The 12,203-nt window shown below is 45.5% G+C and overlaps 1 protein-coding gene across 10 annotated transcripts in view; it reads right to left on the reverse strand.

The window, feature by feature from the left end:
- Positions 1-12,203, reverse strand: part of RFTN1 (raftlin, lipid raft linker 1) — a 197,855-nt gene that overhangs the window by 39,203 nt on the left and 146,449 nt on the right. For 7 of the 10 annotated variants that reach the window (NM_015150.2, XM_005264985.2, XM_011533530.2 and 4 more), the window contains exon 7: positions 2,885-3,000. The exons of the other annotated variants lie outside the window; for them this stretch is intronic. In NM_015150.2, the coding sequence (NP_055965.1) occupies positions 2,885-3,000 (116 nt within the window). The remainder of the gene's footprint in view (positions 1-2,884; positions 3,001-12,203) is intronic. 10 annotated transcript variants of the gene reach the window in all.

Raw genomic sequence — 12,203 nt, forward strand, 5'->3', positions numbered from 1 at the left:
TTCTGATCATGACTACTTAGATAATTTCCGATAAGTCTGAGGCCCTCTCTACAGCTCTCCTCTTCTTCTGAGCCCTCAACAGAATCACCCTAACACTCCATTCACAGAAATCTAGGCTCTTTCTAGCCTGTATGTCCAAACTCTTCCAGCGTCTACCCATTACCCTGTTCCAAAGTCATTTCTACACTTTCAAGTATTTGTTATAGCAACAACCCCACTTCTTGGTACCAATTTCTGTCTCAGTCCATTCCTACTCCTATAACAATGTACCACAGGCTGGGTAATTTATAAATAATAGAAACTTATTCCTCACATTTCTGGAGGCTGGCAAGTCCAAGATCAGGCATCTTGACACTGACCAACAGGTTTAATGTCTGGCAAAGGCCCATTCCTCATAGATGGTGCCATGTAGGTGTCCTTGCATGATGAAAGGTGGAAGGCCAAAAAAGGGGAGGCAGTGGTCTGCAGCCTCTCTTCTAAGGGCATTCATCCTATCCATGAGGGTGGAGCCTTTGCAGCCTCATCACTCCTGGGGTCCCACCTTTCAAATCCATCACCTTGTGGGGTACAGTTCCCACATGGGAGTGGCATCTATACCCGCCCTGGTTCTTAAAATGGAGTGAGCCTCAGAATCTCCTGCAGGGCCTGCTAAAACGCAGACTGCCAGGCCCCACCCCCGGAGGGTTCAGCAGATCTGGAGTGGGGCCCAAGAATCTGCATTTCTAATAACTTCCCACATGATGCTGAGGCTACTGGTCCTGCAGTCACATTAATTTTTAAGAACCATTTTATAGATGATTTTGGATCACTGCCATCAAGTCATCCTTTTTGAGGAACCACAGAGCCCTCCCTTAACAGCCATTTTAATATACAGACAGCAGGAATTTCACACACATCCCCATGGCCTGCCAATCACTCGGCACAGGCACATGTTTTGGGTGCAGCCATGCATCGCTACTGTTACAGCCAAATGTTACGGAGCAAACTGAATGCCGGCTGCTCAGTCCTTCAGATCCTCAACTCTTGGCATTTCATATTTCACCACCACCTGGAGCCTTCACTCCACCACACGTGATGGGCCATGTGACCTGCCCAGCTTACAAGTTGAGGAAGGACAGGGTCCTGAGAGGTGACAGGACCTGCCCACACTCGCTTGGCATCTTGGACTGAGCTTTACTTCCTCTGCATCCCATTTCTAGTTAGGAGCATGGACCCTGGAGAGACCATGGGCAGCAGGGTCACACAGGAGTAACTGGTGGGGCTGATCTCACACCAGGCTGTCACCTGGTTCCTGACTTCCCTCAGGACTTCTGGCCCCTACGCTAACCAGCCCCGGATGCTGTGACTTTCCAACTCCTGCTTCTGACGACTCCAGTTCCTTTGGGTACTCCATTGCTATCACACTTGCAAGCAGTTATTTCTCATCCCTGTTCAGACGCAGGTATGCCCCCCAACAGCCTTGCTCCTCACTTCACGTGTGCTGGGAACTGCTGCAGCTTCAAAGCTGAGTAATAGTGTCCCGGGGGACATCCAACTCACCCCCCACCATCCCATCTCCACTTCAATAACCAGGCAAGGGACTGCCTCAAGGCTGCAGTTCTGGCAGGCACAAGGGTGTGGCAAGCACTGGCTGTCTAGAGGGTCCCAGTGCCCCACACTCCTCACAAAGGGTTGTATCCACCTCTGTCTTCCCTCGGCCTGGAGAGCCCTCTTTGGCAGAGGCCCTCCCAGCAATGCCAATCCTGTGTTCTTCCAAAGCATTCAGAAAGCAGTTCTCTATGTCCATGGCTGGGCACGGTGGCTCACGCTGTAATCCCAGCACTTCAACAGGCCAAGGCAGGCAGATCACTTGAGGTCAGGAGTTTGAGACCAGCCTGGCCAACGTGGTGAAACCCTGTCTTTACTAAAAATACAAAAATTAGCTGGGTGTGGTGGCGGGTGCCTGTAGTCCCAGCTACTCTGGAGGCTGAGGCAGGAGAATCGCTTGAACCCAGGAGGCAGAGGTTGCAGTGAGCCAAGATCGCGCCACTGCACTCCAGCCTGGGCGACAGAGCAAGATGCCATCTCAAAAAAAAAAAAAACAAAAAAACAAACAAACAAACAAACAAAAAAAACCAAGAATTCAGTTCTCTATGTCCAAATAGCTTCTCCCTTTATATCCCAGACACTGTGTGTACAAGAGACTAGGCTAAAAAGTCCATGCTTCCGCAGTTAGAGAAATGCCCTTCAGCTACCCACTAGTGAATCTTGGAAGTAAATTAGCTCCTCCAAAGTCCCAGCAGAACGTGGTTTGAGGAATTCCCCTTCCCACAGCAATTTGGTGGCCTCATGAGTCAACATTTCTCAAAGACATTCTTCAGTATTTAATGTGTAATCTTGGACCAGGGACCTAACCTCTCTGTGCCTCAGTTTCCTCATCTATATAATGGGCAATAACAGTATTTACTTAAAAGGCTTATTGTGCAGATTAAGTGAGCTCATGTGCATAACTCTAAGGATAGCTGCAGAGGGAGCCACAGGGTCTGGCTCCAATATTGATGCTGCTCTGAGTATTAACGGAGGCCACAAACTATGTGGCCTCATTTATATCACTTAGAGTTGTCAGTTATATGCAAATTAATGGAAGACAACTCTCCTTCCACCAAATGGCCAGGCACATGCAATGTGCTTTTCTTGCAGAAAGGGAAGAGCGGGGCCCACCCCTACCTGGGGGTGGGAAAAGAGGGGAATGAAAAGACTAAGGGGATCCTTCTAGGACCTACCAGGTCAACTCCCTCTCAGAAGAAAGCCACAGCTGAGCCACAGCCCCACGGTCAGATCAAGCAGGCGGATAAAACAAGTGCTGTCTAAACAAAAGAAGCGGGGCTGCCAACCCCACACTTACTTCCAGGACTGTCCATTGTTCAACCACAATAGCATCATAGCCCTGTATGGTTTTGCTATCTTCTGTGGAAACAGCTTCAAAGATGAATACTCCATCTGTCAAGCCATGTAAGGAATCTGTGGAAAAAGAAAAAGGCGGGGGTGGGGGGGGTCTGTAAACCGTCTGTGGCAGAAGTCTTCTAAGCAGCAAACATTTCCACTGCATTCATTAATAATCCCAATCAGAACATCTTTTCAGCATGTTAATTAAAGAAGGCACACACAAGCCATAGAGTCTATCTAGCCCTATCAGAATGAATGAGGCTAATTTACCTCACAGTTTTGAATAATATCCTTGATTTTATGAGCCCAAATTTCATTGTTAGCAATCACCATTTGATTTCACACGTTTACCTTCCTTTTCATGCTCCAGCGTCAGGATGCACTGGGGAGAACTTATCCAGGGTAAAACACAGTCATTTAGAGACAGTTTTTAGAAGCAAACTATATTTAGGTGAGGGTTTTTTTTTTCTTTTTTCTTTTTTTTTAAAGGGAAGAGATATAACACACCAGATCTGAGCTTGTCAGATGCGTTGATTTTTGGAAGTTCACATGATGTGGGCTGCAGTCCAGACAACATCTTAGGCAGCTCTTGTCAAGAGGTGGAATGTGGGGGAGAGGGAATTTTCCCAAATAATTTACCACTGGAAATGTTTCCCTGGGTGCTGCTCTAGTCAATGTACCAGGTTCTGAGCTCTGCACAATTCGACAAGTATACATGAAATGTATAGCATGATCAAGAACTATCTTAGGCAATGAGGGTAAAAAGAAATATAGAACAGGCCAGGCGCAGTGGCTCACACCTGTAATCCCAGCACTTTGGGAGCCAAGGCAGGAGGATTCACTGAGCTCAGGAGTTCGAGACCAGCCTGGGCAACACAATGAAACTCTATCTATACTAAAATACAAAAAATTAGCTGGGCGTGGCAGGGTATGGCTGTAATCCCAGCTACTTGGGAGGCTGAGGCAGGAGAATCGCTTGAACCGGGGAGGTGGAGGTTGCAGTGAGCCGAGATAGCACCACTGTACTTCAGCCTGGGTGACAGAGCGAGATTCTGTCTCCAAAAAAAAAAAAAAAAAAAAGAAATACTGAACAGAGTCCTTGACCCTATAGAATACACTAAGGGAAGCACCTTTTGCCCCTTTGTTTGGGGCATGGCTCCTAAATGTCCTAGGTTCATTTTGATAAGGGATTTGGGGGAAGAAGACTGACTTAGAAGCAAGTGGTTTGAAGCTAGGCTCTATCATGAAAGGTGATGTGACTCTTTCAAGGGCTAGGTCTCTCATCTATGGGATTATGGACAATCTCTCTTGGTTCCCAGACTTGATGCTATAAACACTGCTCAATCATAATATTATGGACTGAATTGTTTCCTCCCAAAATTCGTATGTTGAAGCCCTAACCCACAATGTGACTATATTTGGAGACAGAGCCTTTAGGAAGGTAATTAAGGTTAAATGAGGTCCTAGTCCTCCTTTAACTAGGGTAGGATGGGGCCTTAGTCTAATAGGACTGGTGTCCTTATTAGAAGAGGAAGAGAAACCAGAGCCCTCTCTCTCCCTTTCCTGGCGTGTGTAAAGAGGAAAAGCCACGTGAGGACACAGCAGGAAGGTGGCTGTCTGCAAGCCAGGAAGAGAGCCCTAGCCAGAAACTGAAGTTGTGGGAACCTTGACCATGGACTTCTATCCTCCAGAACTGAGAGAAAATAAGTGTCTGTTGTTTAAGCCACGCAGTGTGTGGTATTTTGTTATGACAGTCCTAGTAAACATACAAACAAAGCGCATTTCAATGATACGCTCTTTTAAAAGGACAATTTTTAATAGGGCAAATCCATAATAATGTGACCTTTTTTTTTTCATGGGGAGGGAAGGGAGACAAATTCAGAAAGTCCCCTGAATCATGCTGGAGTTCCTGGAACTGCCAGTATTTTCTAGAAGTCACAAAGAAAAAGACTGACAAATGTGAATATATAACAATCTTTAGCTTTGGCTCCCAAGAGACCCCATAAACAAAAGGTCATCAGCATGAGAAAATTATTTGCAACAACAATAACAAAAATAAAGGCTAAGCTTAATATTTTTATATATAAAAAGCTTTTATAGTTAAAAATACTGAAACACCATTAGAAACAAAGGACATAAAGCAATTAATTAATTCTCTTTATCTTTCCATGGCCAGTAAACATTGAAAAAAATTGCAGTTTCTTTTTTTTTTTGTTTGAGGTAGGGTCTCACTCTGTCTCTTAGACTGGAGTGCCATGGCACAATCACGGCTCACTGCAGCCTCAACCTCCTGGGCTCAAGTGATCCTCCCACCACAGCCTCCCGAGTAGCTGGGACCACAGGCACATGCCACCACCCCAGCTAATTTTTTATTATTTGTAGAGATGCGGTCTCACTATGTTTCTCAGGCTAGTTTCGGACTGCTGGACTCCCAAAGTGCTGGAATTACAGGCAAGAGCCACCGTTCCAGGCCTCAACTTCTTTTTTATTTAGCAAGGTGACAAATTTTGAAAAGAAAATTTTCACTGCTGGTAAAGGTATGGTGATATGCAAAAGTTTACAGTGCTTAAGGGAATTTTAACTGTACAATCTTTATAGAAAGCAATTTAACAATGTTGCAGGAGCTTGCCACAAAAAGTCCACCCTCTTTCACCCAGAAATCTTACCTTTCTTGTCTATCATGAGGTAATAACCTCCAATGCCATCAAATACCCATCTACAAGCATTACTTATAAAATTACTTAAAAACTTAATCTAAATGTTCAACAATCCAAATATTTAACCATAGAAAAATAGTTAAATTTGGAGATTTCTATAAAATACTAGCCTGTCCCTAAAAATATTATGGGAATTTAATGATTTGGAAAAATGCTTTAGATACAATATTATGGAGAAAAAACTAGGATATAAAACTGCCACATGAGCTCAATATGGATTTTTATGTTAAAATGGTTTAGACAAACTTTAAGGAAATACACAAAATGCTAGCAGCAGTTATAAGTGGTAGAATTACATATAATTTGAGTTTTCTTTTATATCCTTTTCTGTGAGGTTATTAACAAGTTAATACAGGTATAACACAAGTAAATGGACAACACAAATGACAAAGAATTTCCTTTTTCTCTCCTCTACAAGGCTCTTGAAGGCCTAACTAGAATCAAAGAGTTTTTTAAAACTATGGGGAGATGATTTTAGTGTAATCTAAATAGAAAAACTTCCCTTAGAGGAGTCTAAAAATGGCATATAGGGCCTCAGAAGGGTGAGTGACATGTTACTGGAGTTCAAGTGCACTGAATAACCTTCCAGCCATTCATTATGACACCTACTGGGAATCTATTATGTGCCAAGTAGTCCTGTAGTCACTAGAGATCTCACAAGCAGCAAGATAAAGTCCCTGCCTACATGAAGCTTACCTTGCAGTGGAGGAGGAAGACAATAACATCATGTCAGAGGTGATACATGCTAGAAAAATACTAAGTGGGCCAAGGGGAGAGTGTGAAGGTGGACACAGTGGTGGTGGCTATTTTTGAAAGAGGCATCAGGGTAGGGCTCCCCACTTCGAGTGAACTAAGCAAGCAAGGAACATGGATCTGCAGGGTTTGAGAGTTCCAGGAGGAAGGGACAGCCAGCCTGACATGCAGAGTGAACGAAGGACAGCCAAGGACCAGGTGAGCAGCAGAATCAGGAGAGAAGGTGGTTAAGACTAAATTGACTGGTGGGGAGGCCAGCCACTTAGGGCTCTGTTCATCTGACTTGCTTGGCCAATGGGATATTAGCAGGTGTAATGCAAGCAGAGACATAAAAAGCACGTGTGTGGTTGAACTTGGCCTCTTGTGTCTTGGCCATTACATTGAGAGGGCATGCCCCAGTTAGCCAGTTGGTTCTAGGGAGATGAAGGACAAATGGAGCAGAGCTGCCGCAGTGGAGCCCAGCTGAGACCAGTTCTGCCTCAACAGAGCTGCTCCAGCCAACCCCAAAATCTGCCAGAGTAAATTGTTACCATTGTAAGCCAATGAGTTCTGAAGTGGTTTGTTACACAGAATTATTGGAGCAATAGCTGACTGACACAATGCACAACCTAGACCTAAAAACAAGACCACTGTACTTTGCTTAGCTTGGGTCCTCATTCCAGAATAATAGGAAGGCCTAACCGGTTCAACAAACCATGGCTGTAAGGTAATAAGCACAGCAGCCTTATCCTGATATTATCCCAACATAAGATAGTTCTCCATTTCAAGTAAGAGCCCTATGGGTAAACCAATAACACACTCCAACTTCTTGTTTCCCATCCTGAGAGTCTGTTATCAAACAGCCTTGGCAGATGCTAAGCTTGCCTCTCTCATCTGCTTTGCTGAAATGTTCCTCCCAAGTGCTTATTCCATGGCCTCCTAAGAGACATGTTTCATAGGTTATCAGGGAAAAACAGCTGCTCTGCAGCTAAATCACATCACAAGTATTTTGGGGTCCAAGGTGAGTATGGACCATAGTCCAGCTTACTTTTTAAGTCCTGGGTAACACTCCAGGAGTCCATCTGGAGCCCCTATCACAATAGGGATGCCCTAAGAGACCCCTTTGAGTAAAGCCCTCCCAAATCCTGACCTGGGCATGCTTGAGACCAGAAGACACTCAATGATTCCATCAGGATTGTATCAACACAGCACACATTTCCTCAAGACTACTACAAAAATAAGTTATATCAAATTTCCAAAGCCTCTACATACAGATCTTCTCAATGGAAAACCTCTAAGCCCTTTAAAAGTGCCTGCCATGTGCTTTCAGTACTTAAGTGCTTAATTCAACATAAATTATATGATGGTGTTTAGCCTGCCCATGGCGAGCATGGCAGAGCCGAGGTCCAGAAGAGGGAAGGGGACACTCACAGCCCATCCAGACTTTTTCTCCATCCCCTGCTGGGCTTCCTCTCCTTCCTCCTGAGTCACAGGCCTGGGAAGGGGGCTGTGTAGTCCGCAGGGAAAGCTACGGCTAGCTTGAGGGCATGAAGGAGGAACACACCCAGATCCTTATTCACCACCCACCTCATCCACTGCCTGCCTCCCAGCCTCCCCACCTCAGCCTAATGCTCCAGTATTCTGAATCCAGAGCACTGATTCACCTACTTAACCATGAGGCTGAAGTTCAGAATGGCTATCAAAATCTGGTTATCTGTAACAGCAAAAAAGTCAATGAACCAGAGAGCAGACAGCTGGGCTTTTAAAGAGTCGCTTGTTTTGACGGCCTTGTCCACTCCTTGTCTCCTCATTACCTTCATGGCTCAGCCTCACTATAATGTGCACTGAATTGGGTATAAATAGGTTTATCTTAGAGTGAAGGCTCCAATGTAAAAAGGTTAAACTGCCCTCCGTCTATGGAAAACATTCCATTATCACTGCATTTTTTATTAAAGCGAAGATGCTTCCCTACTGTGCACAAAAAGCTATTTTCCCTCGTACTGTATAAATATTTGATGCTGGTCTTTTGGCAAAAGGCCACCTTAATATTCCAAGCTTATGATTTACAAGAAGGATGTGGGAAAAGGAGATTTGCCATATTATTTCAAGAGGTAAATTCTGTGAGGCAACCACTCTTCTGCAGCCTCTGAGACATTAAGACTGTCTATATCAAGCTAACCTTCAGGCTCAGCCCCAGGGTGCTGTGCTTCGCCAAAGTCTAGCCTGAATGTGCATGCCATGACAAGCGGTCAATGCATTTGGTCTATTTTTGCAGGGTTAAAGACAAAGTGTTACTGTTCTCCTTTAAACAAGCTAGACTGGACCAGATTGTCCACCCTGGACTAGCTGGCATAACAGATCCTCTTGGCTCTCTGAGGGCGCCTTCTCTCCATCAGAGGTCGCACAGCACCACCTTGATTCCAGGATTCTTGGCACCACCTTGATTCCAGGATTAGCAATCGCCAACTGCGTAAGCCCAACTGCACATGCAATCATATGACATGTGATCCCATGGCAAATGTAATCACCGCTCAACCAATCCCAGGTAACGGTGCCATGTTGCTTCCCAATCACACTGCAGCTAATTTGCTCTATTAACCAAAGAATGAGCAAGGCTGCTGCCTTCTCTTGCTTCTTGAACACTCACTGCTGCTCTGGGCCGGCCTGCCTTCCTACATTCTCAATTTGAGGCAATGAATAATCTAGAAAAGATATTACTCCTCTTCAGGTAGAAAAGGGTTAGCTTGCAAGTTGCAGCGCCATTTAACTGACCAGATAGGGAAGAAACATTCTGATTCAGTGTTAGCTGGACGTGGAAGCACTCTGCCAGATGCAGTTCAAGGCTTTTCATTGAATCCTCCCCAAAATTCTGTAAGAGCTGTCATTCCCTTTTAGTGGGTAGACAACTGAGTTAAATGATTAGTCCATGTTCATGTGGAGTTCAAGGGCCAAGCCAGATCTGAAATGTGATTTGTTTCATCCTAAAACCTACTCGTTTTCCACAGTAGACATTGAGCTACTACTATGGTGAAGCAGATCCTGTTTGAGGCACCGGGGGTAGGTGCTAGACAGGCTAGGTTTCTACCCTTGCAGAGCTGGTGTTTTCTGACCACTGCACCATACTCTCTCTGCCTCGGTGGTTAGGGTGAGATTTCAGTTGGGTCACAATGAGATGGGCTTAGGGCTTCTGTTTGGGGCCACATCTGTGCAGATGCCATGCTGTCCTATATGGGGCAAAATAAATAAATAAATAAAAATATGCTTGTAAATGGCTAAGTTACGTATATAGCTGTGTATTTGACACAATGGAATAGCACACAGCAATGAGAGAAAATGGTCTTCAATTACATGTAAAAATATGAATGAATCCCACAATGACAAGTATATAAAGTCTGTACAGTTCAAAACTCATCAACAGTGTTTCAAGTAGGGACTGTGGTTACTCTGGGGGGATAGAAACAGCGTGGGGCACGCAGGGGCTTCTAGGGGCTTGTTAAGTTCTACGTCTTGATCTCTGTGCTGGTGACATGGGTGTGCTCACCTTGTGAAAAGCCACTGAGCTATATCCTATGATCTGTACAGTTTTTTACGTGTGTGCTAAACTGCAATAAAAGTTTTTTTAAAGGTGTCCTATGGACACATGAGAAAATGCATTTAATGGCATACGTGCAATTTAGCCCCTACATTATTAAGTGGCTTCTTTGAAATAGAAGCCCTGCCTGTAACCACTAGGCCAGACATTCCTGGAGGTGGGTGGTGTCCCAAGGGAGTGGCTATCAGAAACACCTGGTACTACTTCATTCTCCCTCTTTACCAGTCCCACCCTAAAACCTGCAGATTCCTGGGGAAACACTCCAATATCAGTGTTTTCCCTCACCACCACTGGCATTATTGAGCATCATCCAGAACTATCATTAGCCACCTTCTGAATACAGCACTGTGATGTTAAGAAAGTACAAAAAGTAGGACCTGCCTGGGGGGTTGGTTGCGAGTATGTCTGTATAAAATATATACCCCACATATTTAATATATATTTTATTTAAAACATGTACATGTGTTTTACTTATGTATTTTGCAAATATATGATCATGGAGGATATGCTAGGTGTCAAAAAAAGGTGGTATAAATACCCATACAAAGTGATACTTGGATTTAGATGCAGCTGGGGCACCGGAGAAAGTCTCAAGGGAGACCTAATCTTTTAAAAAGGTGGCAGCAGAGAGACATCTGGGTGTCATGTGACCCCTATGTGATGCAGTGTGGAGAACACATTGCCTGGAACGTATTCTTGTCATAATTCTTAACTTATCAAGGCCTTAGAACTAACTTCCAGGTTACAGGAAATAGAGGCTGGAGATATAAGATCAATGACACCATGAGCCCTGACCAGATGAAACCATCATGCAGGCCATTCTGCAGAATAAGAGGCTAGGTTCCTTTCAAGCAGTCAGGGAAAGAAAAAAGGGCTCTTCTAGGCAAAAAGAGAAGTGAGGATACAGTCACCGCAAACACCGACTGTTACTGGAGTAGATTCTGGTTTGGATAATCAGCTGCAAAGGCCATTTCTGAAACAAAGAGGTGGAGGACTGCCAGGGTAGGAAAGGGCAAGCACAGGCCAAGGGTATGAGGAACGAGGACAGGAGTGGGCAGGGGTGTGGAGCAGGGAAGGCAGGGCAAAGAGGGTAGTTGGAGGCGGGGGACAGGACAGAACCAGAGGAATGCTGGGCAAGGCAGGGCAAGAGAGATGGTGGCAGCGGCAGCAGCCTCAGTGGCTGGTGATGGCAGCAGCCATTCTGTAGGCCCAGAGGCCTTCGTGAAAAATCAGCCTCCTCGCTGGGTCTTCAGGGGTGGGCAGCCTTAGTCTTACCCCAAACTCCTGGCTCCCACCCAACTCCTCCACAACAGCTGGCTCAGCTCGGGGTCTCTCCTCCTGGTCTTTCCCATCCTCTAGAAATAGAGAAACTGGCCTTCATCTCACTGGCCGACATGTTCCTGAGTGCCTGGCTGCTCTATATGTGGCCCCTGGACTCATTCTTGCTTCCATCGGGTCCTGCCACCTCCCTAGAGTGACCTTGGAGTCCTCCTCGTCCCACCGGGAGAGCCGCCAAAGTCCCGCTGGGGGCCACAACTCCTGCCAGCATAGCCACGTCTTTCCTTTTCTATCCCGCCCACCTCATGGTCCTTTTGTCTGCCTACCCCCTTCTTTCTTCCTGCCACCTTCTTGCTCTTACTAGCCAGTAACCTTGACAATGACATAATGTCTCTGTGCCTCAGTTTCCACAGCTATAACACAGGCATAACTACCTACTTCACTGAGGTATTGTGAGGATGAAGTCAATGCTAAGTTTGAATTACTGAGACCAGCACCCACACAAAGCAACCGCTAGGTGTCCATGGTCATCACTATGCCCCTCCTCTGTGCCCTAAGCTTGCCAGAGCCCACGGGCAGAGCCTCCCCCAGCCCAAGACACCGGGTCATTCTAAGGTTTAATGAACGACCCAGGGAGAGGAGTCCTGGACACCATGAGCAGGAGCCCAAACTTGAGGACTGTACAAGTCTTTCTATGTCCCAGGGTGGGAGGCATGGGGAGGGGAGTAATGCCTCAAGAACAGAAGCTCTGGAGTCTGCACTGGGTAATTCAGGCTGAAACATCACCTTGTTTATGGGACACAGTTCTCATGAGCTTTATGACCCTGTGGAAAATATTTTGGAGTATAAATCTCTATTCAGGAGTCGTGACTAGTGCCATTCCAGATGGCAAACAGCTTAAAGATGTGCTTCTAGCTCTGCCAGCTTTATTTGTAAGGACACTAATTATCTCACTAGAA

Source organism: Homo sapiens, chromosome 3, assembly GCF_000001405.40.
Source record: "Homo sapiens chromosome 3, GRCh38.p14 Primary Assembly".
NCBI classification, from domain to species: Eukaryota; Metazoa; Chordata; class Mammalia; order Primates; family Hominidae; genus Homo; species Homo sapiens.